Here is a 22,291-nt window from a genome sequence, read left to right on the forward strand (position 1 = left end):
CACAAAGAGGAAGCATTAAGCATATACACCCTATCAGGAGAGATTTGTTTAAAACAAACCATGCAGATAGACCCATATGAGTGATTTAGGTTCACTTCAGGCGTACTTTTTATGTCATTGATTTTCACGTTAATCATTGACTTTATAACCTAACTCTGTATAAGACATGACTGCACTGTAAAAATATTCTGCATTGTATACAGTCGATTTCCTTTTGAAACTTTGTTAGGAACTTCCTGTGGTATCTTACATCCTTCTCTCAGTGTGATTGCTAGCTACTTCCTGAGTGTTGATGATAGTTGAGTATAATTGCAAACTAATGAAGAGGAAAAAGCTTGAGAATCCAACATGATTGGTGATCTTGGAATCTAAGAGTGGTTTATATTTGCCCTTGAAATGTGAGCGACTTTGCTAACTATGATTTTCTTAAATTAAGATGATGCTGAATTTTAGCTTGCTGCCTGAACATTTCCCAGGAATGCACTGACAAACAAGACCCATTGACTGTGGGTGAGGGGCTAGGCGCATGCCCAACAGTTGTGGGGGATGGCAATTAAAATGCTTGGAAAATAGAGTAAATTAGATATTTATGCAGCAGTGTTTCAGATGACTCAATTGCAGAGGGAGAGCAAGTAAATCTAATAGAGAGAGAAGCTGAGGGCAGCTTTTATTTTTCTTTGCTTATAGACTTTTAAGTGTTTGTGAAGGGCATTTAGGGCATTTGAGAGTTTTCCTCATATGAACAACATGGACTGGTGATCTTCAGTAAGTATTCTTGCTTGTAAATATAGCTGGGGTTTGGAGCCCTAGTACCCACATTCCAATCTTGGTCTTGGCACTTCAGTGTGTGAAGCTGGATGAATTGCAAAATTATTTTCTGCTTTAGTTTCTCTCTGTGCAAATAAAATAAAATAAAATGCCTGCCTCTTAGGGTTGTGAGGATAATACACAGAAAATTCTTAAAAAGATGCCAGGGAGTTGAAATAACTCAGTAAATGTTGTGCTTCTTGTTATTATTATTAATTTTTATTTTACTGGGCTAAAGAACATCAAGAGTCAGTCTTCTTACTGTGGTGAGTTGTTTCTTGCCATGTCTTTTTCCCGCAATAAAAATCTTATCCTAGTATCTTACAATTTGAATAATCTACATCATAAATAAATAATCAGCCTTTCATTCAGCATTATGTATTCATGGAATTTCAATGGCAAAGGGGATTTTCGAGAACGTCTATTCCAACCTCTTCTTTGTCACAGAAGGCCAGGAAAACTCTAGCACAGACTCCTCTGCCTTTTCCAGTGACTACTCCACATCCCATAATGCTTTGCCTGAAGCATCTCTGTTTCTCTCAACGGCTTAAAGTAGGAACATTCCTGGAAGAAAGCAGAGCATCTCTGTGGTGATTGCCATCACTATGTACTCGAGAGAATGTATTTTTTAATGTATTCTTGTCCTGGTTGTACCCCTGTTTCTTTTCTTGCTGTCGTCTTTAACATATATCAAAAGCAGTTTAAAAGCAAGAAAGTGCAAATGTCCCTGTTGTAAGAAGTAAATCTCAGCCATTTTCTCTGATCAAACCCTGAAAAGCTGCCCCTGGAGAAAGCCAGATAAAATAAGGGCTACAGAGACCTTCCATGGACAAGTGCAATAACTCATTTTTGTGCATTTGGATTGTGAGGCTTTACTATGCAGTTCTGCAGATACAAGCCAAAGCAGTTGTGTGATTAGATTTTTAATCCCATTAACTCTAATTGCTTCTCAGAAGCCGTGTACTTACAGTATGTGTCTGATGTTAGAAATGCAGGGGGAAGGAAAAGCTATGAAGTGTTTCCCTCATTCTGGATGGGAAACCAAAAAGCAAAGAAAACAGTATATAGGCAACCATTATGAAGGAATCCTGGCAGACTTTATTAAAGGCTACATTTATGATGATTACATATTCTTTTGAATATAGAAATTCTTCTGACCACTCTGAAATCTCAGCATAGCAGGGTTTATTTTCCTCTTGTTCATTCTTTGGAGTTAGACTTTAATACCCTCATTGTACTTTTGAGAGTTTGACCACAAATTATTGCACTGAAGAAAACGAGTTTCAGAGGTTAAACATCTTCTATTTGAGAGGATACAATCACAGTGACTGTCTTTGTGATTCCAAACCAGGTCTATTAAACACAAAGCTGACCTAGTGGAACTGATCAGCACAATCACTTTAAGGAAATGGAGATGAATGGTAGCTGAGGTTTTGGAAAATAGGAAAGCATAATTGAGTAAATTAAAAATAATGTTAAATCACAATTATAATAGCACTTCATCTATTCTTACCCTGCCAGTTTCTTGTCACATGGGCTGTAATTTAAGAATATTTCACCGTAGCTAAACTTACTATTTTAAAAATGATGTTATTAACAATAAACTCCATTTTGTTCTGCAGAATATATATTCATTGTGAACACACTGGGCTAAAACTGAGGTTGCTTTTTAACCAAGAATATCACAACCTTGGAGGATTGAAAACTTGGTGGAGAGGGGATATGTTAGTTGAATGATGAAGGAAAATAAAAAAATAAGTGGAAAAGAAAATGCCATTAACAATATCCTTCCTGTTGAAAGCCCAAAGAGTAAGTAGCAGAACAATTAAAAGAGACAGAGAGAAGAGAGAAAAGGTCAAATATTTGTTAGAACAGTTGTACTTATAAAAAGGGCATGTGACTGTTTCAAAAATAAGAAATGAGTCTCCCACCAGGATCAGGTTTGATCTCCTTTTTGCAACCCTCTGCTTTGGTGATCATATTACTGAATGTTTTCAGAAATGCAAAGACTCTTGGAAAGGAATGAGCTGCCTTAGTTTTTCGTCTCTACACCACTCTTGAAAGGACAAATTTTTCAGGAGTTCACTTCAATTATCTAAATTATCCCCGATTTTAAAGCAATGTGTATTATAAGGGGTAAACTTAGTATGGGATCATAGCATACTTTGGTAGGTTGTTCACAGCTATAAGCCAGAAAATTTGGATCAATACCATTTATCTCAATGGAAGTAAACATGAGCATAATGAATATTTGCAAAATACTTGATAATGAAAGTCAGCTCAGGAACTCTTTATAAGGATTTTATTAAAGAGACTAGAATTGGGCTTATTCCAGGCCTCCTACTTTGAAGCACTTATTGGCACCTTGTAACCATCCTGACCTTTTACTTGTCCAGGCGTGTATTAAACTCATTGGCAGTACACTGGCTTGTGCCCTTTGAGGCACATTATTGCCATTAGAGAGCTCAGTTTAAGTATCATCATTGCATCAGATTGCTGTACTTGCTTAATTAGCATAACATGAATATGAAGAGTATTGTTAATGTAAATTGCCACTCCACAGCCCCCCTCTCTGGGCTCTGGGCTGTATACCACAGATTTACTGGCAAACTTGCAGCTAGGAGAATTTTTTGCAGAGAGCAGAATTACCCCTCACTTCTGGGTGAAGAGAGCACAGCCATTAACAAGGATGATTGAATCGTTTTGTATTGTCTTTTAGAGTTTTTTCTTCCCTTGGACAGAAAGTGACCTGTCCAGCATCAAAAGAGCTATGACAGAGAATATTTAAGCATGCCTCACCTAAATTCAGCAGAATGTCATCAAATTGAAGCCTCAGAACATTTCTTGGAGATTTCAGAATTGATGTTCAGTACATTTCAGGGCCATGAGGTTGCTTTAAATTGTTCTTAATGCTGAATTTGTATTATAAGTTACTTTTAAAAAAGTAAAAAAAGAATAACTTCAAATCTGACAGCTGAATTAGCCTTCAAACAGCTAATATATTTGTTTACTTACTTTGTATTCTATTTGCAATATAAGGAAATGAAATGGAAAGTGCTATGTGTGACAATAGTTATAACAATAATCTTGATCAAATATGTCTCCTTTTGCCTTATTTTGTCAGGAATAGATATGAGAAATTTACTGTCTAAAAAATACAGGGCTGAAAAAGGACAGTGTGTCTGCCTAGAAATTTCTCTGTCTACAGATTGACCAGATTTTTAATCCCTATCAACTTAAAATTATATTTTTTACCTTCCTCGCATGGAGTGGAATTCTAATTTACCTGAAATGTGTAAAATATATACTTTCAACTTTACTTTTTTTTTGGATTTGTTAACAAATGTAAATGTGGTTATGGAACACATTAAAATCCATGTAATAAGCTACTTTGAAAATATTGAATATTTGTCTTTTAAAAAAGCTAAGGATGAATTAAGCATACCTCTGGGAATTAAGGAAAATTCAGTAAAATAGAAGAATTGTGTTATGTACCTGAATGAAGATCGGAAGGTGAAAAAGAGACAATGAGTGGCCATAAAAGTTCAAGGGAGGAAGAGATATTTTGTTGGTCCATTTCTCAATGAAGATGGTATTATTAATAGCATCATGGGCAACATAATACTATGTTTAGAATCCTGGGCACCTGGCCACCCACAATCTTGTAACAGCTTAAAAAGTAAAAATATCCACACATATCCAAAGGTCATCTAAACAGTCTTTGCTGATAATCAACTATTTCTTTGGAATAGTCAGATCTTGAGCTATGCCTGTAAGACTAATGTTCTGAGTATGCAAGAGATAAAAACTCCATCTAAGTCTAGGAAACTGTATAAGCAGAACCACAAAAACCGTGCATATGATGCAGTGAATGGCCCATACAGCAGCTTACAGGGGGGTAATATTGTATTGTCATTGGATACACTAAAGACAAATTTACATCAAGATTGATTTGTTTATAGGGACTCTAAATTATCTGGAGAGGCAGAAAAAATGCCTCATACATCTATAACAGCAAATTATTAAAGCAATTTATTGCAAGCATATATTCACATTTATTTCAGACTTGCTTCATAAGCAAAAAAGAAAAAGTAGGAAAAAGCAACTCAAAAAGTTTTTGGAAGAGATAAAGAAATAAATGATACAACAAAATAATGCCTTGTTGAAGTTTATTAATTTGTCATGGAGATAATCCAATGTCAGTAATGGCAGGAGGGTAATTCTGATTTTCCAAATAGAGGTTCTTAATCTCATTAAATTCCATTAAAAATTGCTCAAGCATTTTATCAGGAATATTAGTTACTTTCTAGAAAAGGTTGTAAATTACAATATCCTCTGCCCCCAAATTTCTGTACCAGAACAGATTTAAACCAGTTTTTTTCTTACATTTTAGTGCCCTAATAAAATGCCAACCATTGTAAGACAGAAGGAATAAGTTTTAGTGTTCTGTAGCACTGTGGGATGACTATGGTTAACAATAATATATAGTTTCAAATAGCTAGGAGGAGGATATTGAATGTTCCCAACACAAAAAATGATAAATGTCTGAGATTACAAATATACTAATTACCTTGATCTGATCACTATTCATTATATATATTGAAATATTGCAATGCATCTCATGAATATGTACAACTTTGTCAATTAAAAATTATTAAAACAATTTATAAATTCTAAAAAATAAAAATAAAAAAACAAAAATCATCAATAAAATTTGTTGAGTAATTTATAAACAATATAGCTCCAAAATAGCAGTGGATACATATATGACTATTTATATATTTATTTAGCAGTCCTTTTATTCATCCTCTCATTTATTCATTCATTCATTCGTTCATTCATTCATTCATTCTAGCTGTTGGAGATTCAGAGATGACAAGTCGACCATTCTCAGAGTTACACGTTCAGAGAAAGGTGGACTAAAACAAGTAAATAACTAGGGTAATTTCAGATAGCAACAAGTGTTAATGAAGGCAATAAATGAAAGTGTAAATGAAGAATAAAAATGTGGAGGAGGAGAGACTCTTTCGTAAGGAATGGTCAGTCATGTTATATCTAAGAAAAGATATTTGAGCAGAGGTTGCAATGTCACCAATGTACAGATTTTAGGTAAGAGAAATCCACATACAGGGATTAGAGGGATAAGTTATGGCAAAGACACAAAGGCAGATGTGAGATGGATTCAGGAACCTCTCAGAAAGAAGACCAGCATAGCTGAAGCAGAGCAAAGAAGAGCACTCATAGCATGGGAATGAAGTCAGAGAGGTAAGCAGGAGTGACAACATGTAACATCTTGAAATTTACTGTAAGAATTTGTTATATTATTTTTAAATCGATGGAAAGCCATTGAGGGCTTTTAAGTAGAGGAAGTTTGTGATGATTCTGGCTACCTTGGGAAAATAGAAGCATCAGACAGTGTTCGGAGATAATTACAACTGTCCAGGTGAAGACATGGTGTGTTCTAAAGTTAAAGGAGGAAGAGCAGAAACAGGTGGTGGGAGACAGGATATATTGTTAGAGTAGATCTTAAAGGACTTGGGGATGAAGTGAATGTGGGAATTAAAAGAGGGAAAGTAAAAAATGATTCTGAGGACAATAAGTAGGTTAGGGTAGGAATAGTCATTGAACTGGACATTGTAATTTGATTCTATAGATACATTGATTATGAGTATATGGATAAAATTAATTGGGACTTGAATTTTCATTCCAGCAGCTGGTTCAGATTGACATCATTTAAAATTATATTGATAATACTTTCAAATATTTAATTGTATTAATCATATTGTCATTGCTTTAATGTATAGGCAAATTGTGTTTTCTCATAATGCAGGAGGATGTTACAATCAGTAAAAGGTAAGAGGTTGAAAATCTGTTTGTCATAAGATTAGGGTCATCTAGCTCTATATTTTTTTAAGAAATGTCAGTGCTGTAAGCTTAAATATGAATATCTGATATTAATACTATCACCTTAAAATATTTTTAGTTTCATTACCGCAAATAGGAGGCTGTAAATGATTTTGGACAAGGAGTGAAACTTGCTTATCTACCAAAATGCATTGACAAGTCAGTTGAGAATAAGTTGCTCTTGATCCTCCTTTTATCATCCTTCCACCTGCAGCTCTGGGACTACCAGCCTAATACACATATGTCCATCTTCATAAACCAACTGGGCAATGTGAATCTTTGGTTACCTCGAATTTTGTTGTATTTGTATATAAATTTAGCCTCCATATACATTTCAGAAGTGTTGGAAACTGAACAATATTTTTAAGTAATTTAAGTTTATCTTAGGCAGCCTTCACGGTCCCACTCAATATACCTCTTTTTTCTTCTAGTTGCCCTTTCTGATCTACAGCTTGCCTACCTAAATCATTTAGGATAGCCTCAGTTTGTGCTTGTAACCCAAAGGTTTGTTTTTCTGTTTGTCCTCATACTATATATTCATCACAGGTCAGCTTAGAGGCTCTGCTGATCATCGTCTTTAAGAGACATGGTATGTCAGAGGCATAAGCACTTTGAACATCATCAGTTGCCCACCACAGGGAGAAAGCAAGAGGGAGACTACTATATAAGCAATTAATTAAGTGCTGCAATGCAAAAGTGATGCATGTCACTTAACTTGCAATTCAGTGAACAAATTAGTCATGTGGCCCAATAATAAGGGGCAGTTCTAATATGTGATTAGAACATGAAGAGTCAGTAATATTTGAGGAATCACTAACACACCTTCTGACCTGACTTACCAGTGTCACTATTCTCTACCAGAACTCAGCTCCCAACATTATTCAGGGCTGGATTTCTATTGTCCTGACTCTTAGCAAGTCCTTTGAATCAGTCCTTACTTTCTAGTGTGACGTTTTCCTCCAGTATGCACTTACATTTTAGAAGGAAATGCTTAAAGAACAAAAATATCTCAATGACTGTGGAATTCAGTCCCACATGTACTAAATATTTATAGGTGATCATGAATGAGCCTGGAAGGACAGAGAATATGACAGAGTCACCTTTTTAGAGACTTAATAACAGATACTCAATTGTCTTCTTATACAGAGGTAGTTTTCTAAATTTGTTTTTTTGTGTTTGTTGTTTGTTTGTTTATTTGTTTTGAGACAGGGTCTCTCTCTCTTGCTGAGGCTGGAGTGCAATGGCTTAATCATGGCTCACTGCAGCCTTGACCATGTAGACTCAAGCAATCCTTCCACCTCAGCTTCCCAAGTAGCTGGGAACACAAGCATGCACCACTATGCCAGGCTAATCTTTTATTATTTATAGAGACAAAGTCTCCCTATCTTGCTAAGGTTGGTCTGAAACTCCTGGGCTCAAGCCATCCACCCACCTTGCTGGCCTCCCAAAGTGCTGGGATTATAGATGTGAGACACCATGCCTGGCCTCTAAGTTTGATTTCTTTTTTTTTTACTCAGAAGTCTCTTTTTATCAAATTAAAAGTTGTAAACTGTTACATAAAATAGATAAAATAAAAATTTATTTGCACATGTTTATTTTTAAAGTACAAATAAATAAATTGTGTTTATCTATTAATAACTTGAGTCAATGACACTTTGAGGCTTTTAAATAAAATCCCATATTTTCTTACAGCTGTAATTTTATATAAACCTCCATAAAAATGTCTACACTTTAAGTGAAAAATAAAAACAAAAATTTAGGCTGAATTCTTGATTCAGGCTAAATAGTTGTCAATATTAACACTTTTTTAAAAACTTAATTTGCATTCTCAATATATTTTTCACGTAATAATTTGATCTAGAAAACTTGAAAAATTTCTTAAATTACTTATTTGAAAACCAAATCACTAATGATAATTAATTTCTGTTCATATAACTTATAAATACAAATAGCCAACCAGATATACCTAAATTTGAAAATGTGAGCTAAAATTTTTTTACATATATCTATATTTGTCTCATGTTTTTATCGTTTATGTTTATATATATTTGTTTTATATGTTTTAGTATACATATTTGTTTTATATGTTTATATAGACAGCAAAAGTTGTGATGCTCCTCAGGGACCTCTGCCAAAGATACATAAATATCCTTTTTACTTTACTTTCCTTCTCCCACCTCACTTTTGCTACTTCTATATTTTTTATTCTCCTCCATCTTCTAGTTCCACTCTACTTTTAGCCAATCTCTTAAGAGGGCCATTGTTTTTTATTTGCTCCATCTAATTCTATTGCTATAAAGAGACAAATGTGGACCTTTGAATCATGACATGGATAATAGAAGAAAGCAAAAGCTCTCCTAGTGTTCTGATGGCAGGGTAAATTACAGATAATCAGATCATTTGCAAAACAAAAGTCAAACTACAGCTTGCATAGAGTCTAAGTGGCATATATCTTAGCACCTTGCTATTCAAAATGTAGTGCTTGGACAAGCAACATCAACATCACTTAGAACCCTGTTGGAATTTCAGGCTCATTTAAGATCTACTGAACCTGATTTTGCTTTTGGAACAACATCCTCAGGAGATTTGTAGGCACCCCATATTTGAGAAGCACTGCATCTAGTCTGTGTATTACTGTGCATATGTATTCTTCCTTCCTGCTTTGAGTTCTATGACAAAATGTCATTCTCCATTGGCTTACCCTTCATAGTTGTCAGAATCCTGATAATGAGAGTAGTGGGAAGAAAAAACAAACTCATTTTACCACCATAGTAAAGAAAACACTACAAATAAATAAAATAAAACGTTTGCTGAATCCCTATAGCAAGTTTTAGAAGAAGATAGACTCACTGTTAAAAGTCAAAATATCCCTAGGTGAAGGAAAAACCCATTGCTTTCAAGAGATTTGAAGTCTTCTCCTTCTCAAGCTCCTTGGGAAGCTAAATTTCCTAAAATTATATTAAATAACTTTAAAGCAATCTTATTGAGCCACTTACTCCATGGAAGCTCGCAAGGCACAAATGACATTGCTAAACCATATGTAAATAGATATTGATTCTGTTTGTCAGCACAAAGTTGTCTTGGGTCCTCTGGAGAAGTACTGGAGCAATACTTTTACCATTTTCTCTAGGATGTTGGGCACTACATGATCAGAAAGCTGATGTAAAGAAATGTATGGCAAAGCGAGACCTACCTAATCTATGCAAAGAGGACAGAGGTCTTATGCTCCACATAACCTTGTATAAATATGTGATTTTCTACCTATAACCACATTACATAAACTTACCAGGAGATTGACTATAATCAGTAAAACATTGAATGTCAGTAGTTTTACTATTTCAATCATGGCCCATCTAACTATATAACATGGAGTGGAAAGAAATTTTATTTACATTATTCTAAAGATGACAGTGATTATTCTAGTTCCCCACCTTTGCTACTTTTAATTTTTTTGATTTTCCTCCATCTTATAATTCCACTCTACATTTAGCCAATCTCTTAAGAGGGCTATACTGGTGAAATCCTTGTTCAATCATAAGCCATAAAACTTCTATATAAACAAGTTTATGTTTTAAGAAAATCTGACAGAAATAAGGGTAATCTGATGATTGGGCACTGCAGATTTCTTTAAAAGAATATATTTAGCTACAGTTGCACGTGTTAGATGAATTTCTAGAATTTCAAGAAGTTTATGCTAGCTAAACATATAGAAGAAGGTATCAGCCATTAGAATTGTATGAAGATGGAATGAGCTTCTTAGAAGCTAATGAGTTCTTCAACAACAAAGGAATTCCAAAGAGGTTCAGTGATGACATGGAGGGCATGATAGAAGGGCCCACATCATGAGGAGGTCTTTCCAGTTCTGAATCTTTTACATTCCAAGTTTCTAAAATTGCTTACGTAGAATTGGTGTTCTTTTATCTATACAAAAAGGCACTTACTGAATAATGTCTGATCATGAAAAATTTAAATATCATCAGTATTTTCTGAAAACCCATACGGAGAACAGAAACAGAATCTGTCCTTTAAAAATTTAAAATACAGAAACAGTAAATGGATTTATGAAGAACTAAAGAATTCGACATTCCCTGATGCTCTCCATGTGACAGATTTCTCAACCACTTTGTGCCTTCAAATCCCTGATGCTTCATTTGCCATAGAATCTTAGGCCATTAAAGCTGGAAGGAAACTTACTGCTTATTTGTTGCAAAGTCTTTTTACATATGAGGAAATATCCAGAACCTGCTCCATTTTGGCACAATGTTCTTTTATATTAGATCTTCTCTGTTTTCAAGAGTATGTATAAATCATGCTAAATCATTAACCTTTAAAGGTAAAAAATTTGATTTTTTTTTCTATTTTTTAACAGAAGCTAGTACAATAGCATGTACGAATATAAGTCTTGACTGACAGAAACAAAACACAATGATGCTATAACAATAACATTTACAAGAGATAAATGGTTCTAAATGATAGGACAATAATATCTGCCAAAGGCGGTTTGTATCTCTCTTGTATACCATGTTCTTATTTCCAAAGGAGCTTAAATAATAAATAAGTTTACTTCTTCACAAAACAGAAAAGCCTGAGGCCAATGTTTGTGTCAAGAAGAGTTTTATCAAGGCTCTGGACCCTCTTCCCCGCAAATCCCACAGCTCTACCTTGCTCCGTGTAGTCACTTTCTCCTCATGGGAAAATATTGCTTTCCAGAAGTTTCTAAATCTACGTGTTTCTTCATTCACATCCAGGGAGTGAAAAAAATATTGAATATAAGTCTTGAACAGCATTCTGAAGAGAACTAATGAAGTCTATGCCAACTTCCAAAACAGTCACAGTGGTAAGAGGATGAGGTCAATTCTACCTAACCTCAAGACTATGACACTTTGAATAGATGTTCAAAGGATCAGGAGACAGCAACAATGTTTACTATACAAAGTGAATTTATTCACGTCTAGTCAATATTCACCAGTTAATGAAGTTCCAGATTTCCATATATGAAAGTAGTATATAAGAGCTGCAGCCTTTAAATTTGATAAATAACTACTTATTAATATGAAACATGATAATCTATTAAAATAATTCCAAAATCCTGCTGGGTTTTTTAATATCTTCTGCAGTATGAGTGAGAATAAACGATATTACAATAAAAAAAAAACTCCCTTTCAATCATTGTTCCTTTAAAAGTGGTTAGAATTTTAAGGCTTCATATATGACTTTTCTAAAAATATTTTAAAGCATCCCAACTGGGAAAGCAATTTCATGCTTGCTTTTTAGAGGATCTATTCAAAGAACTCATTAAAACCATTCATTTAAATAATCTCGTGTATGTTCATTATGCCCTTTCCTTTGGGAGGAAAAAAAAAAAAGTATAAACTGATGCCAGAAAGCAAATGAAGGGAACAAATGTTAAATGCAAAAGGTTAGTCCTTCATTAAAATTGTTTGAATAAGCAGCAACTCCCCCTGTATCCTTAAAACCTCTTCTAAGAAACATTTGTACACATTTAGGACAGCAACTTAAAAGCAGAGCAAACTAAAATTAAAAAAAAAATCTGTAGCTCAGTTTCATGAACCATTAGCATTCGGATCATTTTTGCTTTTCGCTTTCAGGTCTGGGTGAATGAAAGGGAACCAATCTGCCCACATAATGTGAAATGTTTATGGACAACATGAACCAGAATCTTATTGGAGCCCTGTAAAGATAATTTATTAGAAATATTTATTTTGAAGAGCATCTACATTTTACTTAAAATGTTTTGCTTGCTCTATATCCTTCAGCTTAGTATTTTTACCCTTACTTTTTGATAACTATCTTTAGGATATGAAAAGTTCTTGTTGAGGGAGACATGAATAATCTAAAATGATTTGACTTGCCATTTAGGAATGGGTTTTAACACAGTATTTCTTTTATTCTTCCTTCTTGCCTAAGCATTGAAAATCATTATAATTTACCTGATTGTGAAGTATTTCTTAAATTACATGAGTTTTTGGCAAGATTTCTTATAGTTTTGTTTTTTTATTTTGCTTTTCCCAGTTGAATGAGTTTTGTTGTTGCACTATTCCCTTTTAAGTGTCTTTGTGTCATAACCAGTAATTGACACAGAAATAATGCAGCAGAATGGACAGTGTATCTGATTCTCTTGTCACTTCTTTTCAAATAATATCATGAACTATTCTCATTTCTAGATTTTTTTTAACTTCAAGAAGAACACAATGGTTGTATTCTTAGTGAATCGATAGGTACCTTGAGGATTCATAGAAAACACAGACAAATGAAAAGGTAAATCATGATCTTAGGTAGAAATATTTAGCCTAGGGAAGATTTCAGTTCTCCTAAGTTAACATAAATTTATAGTGATTCACATAAAAATATCAATAATATTTTCCTTTGATATCTTGTAAAACCAATTCTGAAGTTGATATTTTCAAATAAATATACTATCATATATTAAAATATTAAAAGGTCTTAATAATGAAAACAACATAAATAAATGAATGAAATGTACAAAGGTAGAAATAGAAGCCAATACATATGAGAACTCAATATATGGCTAGGTATTATCTTGATTTTTAGAAGGAAGATCAATAGTTTAATATAAATGTTGGTACATGATGGCTATCTAAAAAATTCAATAGCATCAATGAACAAGGAAATATTAGGTACACATTAAGAGGAGTAAGTCTATTGAGATTATTTTTTTCCACATTAGATGCTCTCTTAAGAGTAAAACTCATCTCTTAGCATTTAATACAATTGTAATTTTTACTTTAAGTAAGTTTAAATTAATTAAAAAATTAATTATTCTCTTTCTTCCCCTAGAACATATGCTACATCAGGGCAGGAACTATGGATGATTTTGCTAATTGCTTTCACAACCTAATACAGTGCCTTATTCATTGTGGCTCACTCAGTGTTTGTTGAATAAATGAAAATTCATCAAAAAGTTCCAATTTTTCAGGAGATACTTTGAAGAAAGGAAAAAAAAGTATGAAAATTTAAGTAACTTATTGGGCCTATGTGATATTAACTTGGGGAGAATTTTAAAGCTCAAATATTTTGATTCATTAGAGCACAACATGAATTAATTACTTCTGATATTTTGGACTCCCTACTCAACTACTCTCTTCCACAAGCTTGTGATTTATGAGCTCATAAATGAAAAAAAAATTATTTGCTAGGTATAATTAGTTCTTTTTTGAATGTCAGACATTTTACTGATATCATGACTTTTTTCAAGGTGGATATTTTACAGTGGTTTTGCAAAGTCACTCTACAAAATCAGACATTGATCTACAAGACTGACAGGAGTATGTCAGAATATTTAATGAAAAATATTTTGTAGGTAACTTAGCTTTTCATAGGAAAATAATTTTTAATTATTCATATCTGAGGTGGGGATATTTGAACAACATGAAAATCACAGTTTGCAAGAGTAGTTACCAACTTGGGTGAAGGGCATTGATTTTGTATAAAGTAGTGCCCATGATTACCTTAACATTTTCATGTCACTTTTAGATACGACCAACAGAAAAATACGTGAATGAATGTAAATATAAAGGACATTTGCTATGGACTGAATGTTTGTGTTCACACCAAACTCCTATGTTGAGGTCCTAATCCCCAAAATGAGGATATTTAGAGGTAGAACCATTCGGAGGTGATTAGATTTAGATGAGCCCCCACCTCCCGCCCCATAATGGGACTAGTGCCTTTATAGGAAAAAGAAGAGAACAGAGCCCTCTCACTCTCTGCATGTGAGAATACATACAGCAAGGAGGCAGCCTTCTGCAAACCAGGAAGAGTGACCCTCACAGACACTGAACCTTCCTGCACCTTGATCTTGGATTTCTGCCATCGAGAACTGTGAGAAATGTTTGTTGTTTAGCCACCCAGGGTTTTTTTGTAGCCAGAACTGACAAACACAACACTTACTTTGGTATGTAATGGCATATCAGATAGGAATATCTTCATAAGTGTATGAATAATTAGCAGCTCGATGATGTCAAAAGGAAAGCAGCTACTAGCTATTTATTAGTTTGAGCTAAACAGGAACTATACCTCTCTGTTGCTGGATTACCTTCCCAGCTCTGATGAGAAAAAATATTCTGTAAGGAAGGAAGAGGAAAAATGGACCCTGGGGAGGCACTGATTAGTAGCTACTAAAGCACAGTTCATATTCTGCAAACTCCAGCCATAAAGTTTTATTAAGAACAAACACAGATAGTAGTAAAATGGAGGCTCTGGTAACTTTATTTAAATAGTAAAGCAGTTATTTGATGACAGACTGCATAAGGAATTTATACAGTCAGAAGAGGTTTTCACATACAATTCTGGCACCCTTATTGGGAGTAGAATGCATAGGAATAGTTGTCTCCAGGGGGCTGTTTTAATCTTTATTCCATTCTATTGTCATTCAGATTCCAGGTATAGCTAGTGATAAATGGGAAGGCTAAATCCAAAAAGTAGTCTGGCAAAAGAAGAATGGCAATTTTTGTAATCAATTATTTTGTGTTCCAGATATCTTAGTAATGCTTTCTAAATTTATCATCACTTGTCTGACATGATATGAACTGTGAAAGCACATTTCATGCCTCCAAAATATTTTACACATTTTTTTGTTTTAACTTACATTTTCTAGCAAATTAATTAAATAGCTGAGTAAATCTGGCTTGAATCGTTGCTTCATTTCATACCACTTGCATTTCATCAGCCATTCACTCCTTTTCATAAGTTTTTCTATAGTCTGGCAAGTGAATTTTTTTCAAAATAGGGAGAATGATAATGGATTTAATGAAAAATATAGGATTTTAAGGAAGAAATATTAAGTCAGAAATAACTGCTTATGTGAAAATTTGATGTTTTGTTATCAGGATTTCAAAAACATATTTTGTCATTTACATCATTGCCTAGAAAACATTATAGAATTTCTTGTCCAACTAGTAAGAGCTTCTGTCATTATCTTTTAACTTCGCTTTTTGTTCCAAGTACCCTACAAACATTTTAGATGTAAGTGTAGCACTAGTTATTTCCATGTAGGTGTAACTATTCCCTTTTCACAGATGAGTGCACTGAAACAAACATAGTTAATATATTGGCCCAAAGCTGCACAGCTACAGAGTCACAGACCAGGGTATCAAACTCAGGTCAATCTGACTATCAGATCCAAAATCCATGCAATGCCTCTCTGTACTGCAGGTTCTTACCAAAGTGTGTTTCAACAACCAGTAATGTCAGCATCACATGGACACTTCAAAGCACTTCAGAATCTCAGTCCCCCACCTTAACCTACTGAATTAGAATTTGCATTCTAGTAACATTTCATTAACATTTGGCAAGTACTGCATTAAGTCATTTATGTCGTTAAAGAAGAACCTTAGCCCAAAGCATAAAGACATATATTCATTTCTTAATAAATATTCTTGAAAATGTATTTCTACATATAGATAGATGATTCCATTAATTTTCCATTAAGTTTTGGATATATTTATTGCTAATGTTTGTTTATCATAGAGAAGTCGCACAATGTTATAAAATGAATTTTAAAATTCATTAAGGGGTCTAGTCTCAGCAATGGCAGAGTGCCTCTTAGTAGACAAATCAATGTCAGATAAAATTTATGAACTTGGGATAAGTTACAAAAGACAACTACATAAAGAACCATTGGAACAAACAACTGTAGGCAAACACTGGGTGATAGGTTTCAACTTAAAAAATAACATGTGCTGATTGCGATCTGTGTTTCTGTGGCTTTTGTTCTGGGGTCACTCCCCAGTCTGCAGCACGAGTTGTTTGGAAAGAGGCAAAGAGCTTCAATATCATTGGCTTGGAGTTTCAGAGGAAGGGTTTGTGGCAGATCCACACTGCAAAAAATAATGAAGGAAATCCTTCAGTATGAAGAAAAATGACACCGAGTAGAAACAATGCTCTAGAAAAAGGAATAAAGAGCACTAGAAATGATAATATGTGGATAAATATAGAACACTACTATTTTTTCCTCGTATATCTTTAAAAGATAAACTAAGCAAAAACTAAAATTGTGTATTGTGGGGTTTAAAAGTTATATATATATACACATATATACATCTATCTATACACATACACATATATACATATATATATCTGATATATGGAATTATACTGCCCAAGCTTCTTAAAATTTCCCTGAAGATATATAATAACTCTAAGTAGACTATGGTAATGATAAATATTGCAAACAGTAGCAATGCTTCTAGATGAAAAGTGATAAGGAGGTAGAGTTAAAAGGAGTTAAAACATACTACCTAAAGTTAATTATATAAAAATGAATCAGTATAGGAGTAACAAGAGAAGAGAAGAACAGATAGAACAAATATAAAAATATTGCAAGTAAAATATACTTAAATCCAAGCATATCAATGAGAATGTCATATGTAAATGGACTAAATATTTAAAGGCTGAGAGTCAGTATAGATAAATGTAAAAAGCAAGCCCCAACTATGAGTTGTCTAAATGAATCCTATTTTAAAATAAACAACATATATTGAAAATAAAAGCATTGAAAGGATTCACTATGCAAATATTAGAACACAAGAAAGCTAGTATAACTATACTAATACAAGACAAAATAGACTTCAAGACAAGAAATGTTTCCAGACATCAAAAGTATAATTTCATCCTGATCAAAAATTTTGTATTGATCAAAATGTCAATACATAAATAAGACACAAAAATTATAAATACATATTACCTAATAAAAGAACTTTAAAATACATGAAGTAGAGACTGACAGAATTAAATGGATAAATAGATCTACAACAGTTGATGATTTTAACAGCTTTCTTTCAAAAATTGGCAGAAAAATTAGATTAAAAAATCAGTCAAGAATCAAAAAGATTAAACAACACTGCTGAACAACATAACCTAATTGACATTTGTGGAACAATACTTCAAACAAGTACGGAATAATCATTTTTTCAAGTGCATATAGTATATTCTCTAAGATATACCATATAGTGGGTCATAATATAAATCTAAATAAATCTCAAAATTGAAATCTAATAGACTATGTTCTGTGACCTCCAGCCTGGCGATAGAGCGAGACTCCTTCAAAAAAGAAAAGAAAAGAAAAGAAATTAGAACTTTTGGTGTATTTGGGGGACAAAGATAAATTGTAAGGGGTCAACAGTGGATTTTCTGGAGTTATATGAATGTCCTACATTCTAATTAGTGGCTACATAGGTATAAATATTTAAAACTGTTCATTGTGGCCGGGCGCGGTGGCTCACGCCTGTAATCCCAGCACTTTGGGAGGCCAAGGCGGGCAGATCACGAGGTCAGGAGATCGAGACCATCCTGGCTAACACGGTGAAACCCCGTCTCTACTAAAAATGCAAAAAAATTAGCCGGGCGTGGTGGCGGGCACCTGTAGTCCCAGCTACTCGGGAGGCTGAGGCAGGAGAAGAGAATGGCGTGAACCCTGGAGGCGGAGCTTGCAGTGAGCCGAGATCGTGCTACTGTACTCCAGCCTGGGTGACAGAGCGAGACTCCGTCTCAAAAAAAAAAAAAAAAAAAAAAAAAAAAAAAGGTTAATTGTACACTAATACCCATATCCATGCATTTTAGTGTATACTAAAAACTATCCTTTCACTATTGTTGTAGACAAAGCCTTGACTGTCCCAGATAGATAATCTTTGATATTATTCCTCAGTAATGTGGAATATGAGAACTGGAAGATAAGCTTTCTATCTAAATATCCAGGTACCCCCAGTCCTACTAGGCCCAGATCTGCAATGGTGAGGTCTTTTCTGTTACATAAGCCAAATCAATATCCTGATGCTATCATTGTTCATATCTCCTTGTTATCTGGTTTCCTCTCTCCCCCTTATTGTTATGTGTGAAGGCAAGTCTATTCTTTTATCTAAGACCAACTTCTCTAGCTGTGGCATTTCTTCCACTCTCCCATTCTGTGTTATCAGCTGAAATGTGTTCTATCTGTCTTGTTTCTTGCTTTGCTACTTTTTTACTTCTTTGGGGGAGTATAATAAATGTTTTCTATTATTCCACTTTTTCTTCTAATAGCTTTTTAGCTGTTGTTCTTTTTAATGTTTCTAATGTTTACTGGAGTAGTCACAAAATGCAACTTCAAATTATTTCAGTCTACTTGGAATTAATATTATATCATTCCCTACTTAATACCTGACACTCCCAATTTCCCACTTCACAAACGTAAGAGCCTTACAACAGTATAACTTCATATGTGAACACCCATCCATTGTGCTATCTTTGTCTTACTTTTTGCTTCTGCATATGTCACAGCCCCTGTCTTACAGTGTTATTCTTAAAAAAACAAAAACAAAAAAACTAGCCATTTCCGTTGTAAGGAACTCAAGGACAAAAAAAGGATAATCTATACATACCCACTATATACCATTTCTGGGGCTCTCCATTTCCTCCAAGACTTAAGTTTCCATATGCTATCATTTCCCTCATGTAACATTGTTAGCAATTCTTGATGTGAAAGTCTATGGCAATGAATTATCTCAATGTTCATTTACCTCAAAATATTTTGTCTTCGGATGCATTTTTCAGGTTTATTCTAGAAAGCTACAACTTGTTGAATGATTGTATTTTTCAGCATTTTAAAGATGTATTTTTATTTTCCTCTTGCCCCAGTAATCAACCATTGCTCATATGATTGTTTTCCTGAAAGCAATGTGTGTTTGCTCTGTTGGTATTTTTTTTTCCTCTTGCTACTTTCAAGATTTTTGCAAAATCCTTTTTTTAAAAAGTTTGGCCATGATGTACTTAGCTGTCAGTGTGTGCATGTGCAAGCATTTGTCTTGCTTGAACTTTGCTGAGCTTGAAATAAAGTTTCTTGTCAATGGTTTTCAAATTTAGAAAATTTTCAATTATTAGTTCTTCAATATTTTTTCTAACCCATTCTCGCAGTCAGCATTTTCTAGTTTATTCCAATTACAAATCCTTTGGACTACTTGACATTATCTCATAGGGAGACTGCTTATATTTTCCCCAACATTTTTAAATGAAAATCATCAATAAAAAATTTGGAAGATATTTATAGTGAACCATTAAATATCCATCATATCAATTGTACTGTTAACATTTTACTGTATTTGTATTATCATATATCTCTCCAACCCTCTATCCACCCTTCAGTTCACTTTATATTTTAGTAATTTTTTCCATTGAATCTAAACTAAAAAGAGTAACAATGAAGAGATTTAAACTTCTACTGCAAACAACAAAAACTGGGAAAAGGTATAAAAAAATGATTCTGAGGCATTAGAGTTCAGGCAACAAAGGGAAGTAATCACAAAGATGGAGAGGGGAATAAGTGAAGTAAACCTTGCTGTTTTTCCAGCTTACTGCCTGCAGAAAATTACCAGGACCTGGTACAGAAGATAGCAATTTTCATAATTCATAGGGTATCAAGTAATATACTCAGAAATGCATTGCCTCAAGAATGGGGCAAAATTAGCCTCAAACTATTACTAGCTTTAAACTTACATATTCTGTATAAGAAAGCTTTCTCTATGTCTAAGTCATAAAGATATTTCCTCTTTTTAATACAAATTTACAAGTATAAATTTTCCATTTAAATTTATAATTCAAGTCTAATTAATGTGTGTATGTTTGCATGTGTGTGATTGTGTTTATGTGTTCATGAAAGTAGTCAAAATTCATTTCTTTCTATACAGATTTTCTGTTTTTCCAATATTATTGTTCAAAAATATTCTTCGTCTCATCATGTTGCATTGGCGCTTTTGTTGAAATTAAATTAAGTGACCTGAAAGTGTGTATTTGTTTATTTGCACTCTATTCTGTTTCACTAATCTATTTTTTAATATTCATGTCACTACCACTGTCTATTTTTATTATAGATCTACAATAAGTAATCAATCAGGCATTATAAAGCCTCAGACATTTTTATTCTTTTTCTTCAAGATTGGTTTGAATATTACAATTCCATAGAATTCACATATAATTTTAGAAGTAGCTTATAATTTTAGAAGAGCTTGGGGAGACTGAGGCTAGGGTTGTGTAAAATTAATATATTAGTTTGGAGAGAATTGACAACTTAATAATATTGAGACTTCCAAACCATGAACATAGTATATCGTTCTATTTATTTATTTATTTTTAACTTTCAGCAATGGGTAGCAGTTTGTGTGAAGTCTTGCACATATTTGTTGAATATATTTACAAATGCTTTATTCTTTTGGGATATTTTTGTGAAAGAAATTGCTTCATCATGTTTATTTTTCACTTATTTCCTGTTTGTATATAAAAAATAATTTTTCTAGCCAGACATGGTGGCTCACGCCTGTAATCCCAGCACTTTGAGAGGCCAAGGCAAGGATCACTTGAGCCCAGAAGTTTGAGACCAGCCTGGGCAACACAGTGAGATCCTGTCTCTACAAAAAATTAAAAACTAGCCAAGTGTGTTGGCAAACACCTGTAGTCCCAGCTACTCAGGTGGCTAAAGTAGGCAAATCCCTGAGACTGCAGTGATCTGAGATCATGCCACTGCATTCCAGCCTGGGCAACTAAATAAATGAGATATCATCTTTAAAAAAAAGAATAAAAGCTTTTCCATATTATTCTTCTATCCCATGACCTTGCTAAATTAGTGTATCACTCTAGGACTTGTTTTGTTGATATCATAGGAATTTCTACATGACAAATTTTGTCACCTACTGTCAGTTTTTATTTTGTACAGTTAATCTTTATGCCTTTTTTCATGGAACATGGTTCATAATAATCTATTTTAATTGGGAAAGATACATTCAAATATCAGTATTATCTTTGAGCTTCTATGAGTACCTGAATGAGAGAGAGAGCATTTTCAATTGGCTCTAGGATACCGTGTGTCTGTCTTCCCAATTAAGGTTAACTCTAGTATGGTAAAGTAAATCAACACTTGACTAGAAACTGGCTGTGTTTCCTTTTCTTTTCTTTTCTTTTCTTTTCTTTTTTTTTTTTTTTTTTGCTTCAGTAGCTAAGGCCTCAAGTATAATTGTTACTGGCCTGGTAAAAGTAAGCATTCTTGCCTGGTCCCAAATCTTAGGAGAAAGCATTCAATATATCACCATTAAGTAAGATGCTAAGAGTAGGGTTTTTTTTTTAGAGATACTATTTATCAGACTAAAAAAGTTCTTTTTTATTCTTTGTTTCTGCAACGGTTGTTTTTACCATGAATAGTATTAAAATTTGGTCAAATGTTTTTCTGCATTCATTGAGATAATGTAATTTATCTTCTATATGTTATTAATCTGATGAATTGTATTGACAGCTTTTTTAGTCTTAAGCAAACCTTGCATTTTAAAGATAAATTATACCTGGTTATGACGCATTTGCCTTCTTATACATTGATTAATTTCGATTGCCAATATTGTAAGCATTTTCACAACTATGTTTTCAAAGCATATTGGCAAATGGTTTTCCTGCATCTTTTCTTGGTTTGTTATTAGGATAATGTTGGCCTAAAAAGTGAATTAGGAATTTTTTCTTTCTCTTCTATCTCTGGAAGAGTTGGTTTGAATTGAGATTATGTAATCCTAAATTTTTTTCAAGAAAGACT

At 33.6% G+C, this 22,291-nt stretch overlaps 1 protein-coding gene across 3 annotated transcripts in view, besides 1 other annotated feature; it reads left to right on the forward strand.

Moving 5' to 3' along the window:
* XIRP2 (xin actin binding repeat containing 2) overlaps positions 1-22,291 on the forward strand; it is a 371,274-nt gene that overhangs the window by 69,209 nt on the left and 279,774 nt on the right. The window lies entirely within an intron of this gene.
* Positions 3,086-3,587: an enhancer, noted in NCBI's record as "NANOG hESC enhancer chr2:167817284-167817785 (GRCh37/hg19 assembly coordinates)". NCBI's record gives its function as "activates a minimal SCP1, AML or CMV promoter by ChIP-STARR-seq in naive H9 embryonic stem cells {active_cell/tissue: H9 hESC(naive)}" and the evidence as "EXISTENCE:reporter gene assay evidence [ECO:0000049][PMID:30033119]".

The sequence above is a fragment of the Homo sapiens genome, chromosome 2, assembly GCF_000001405.40.
Source record: "Homo sapiens chromosome 2, GRCh38.p14 Primary Assembly".
Taxonomy (NCBI): domain Eukaryota; kingdom Metazoa; phylum Chordata; class Mammalia; order Primates; family Hominidae; genus Homo; species Homo sapiens.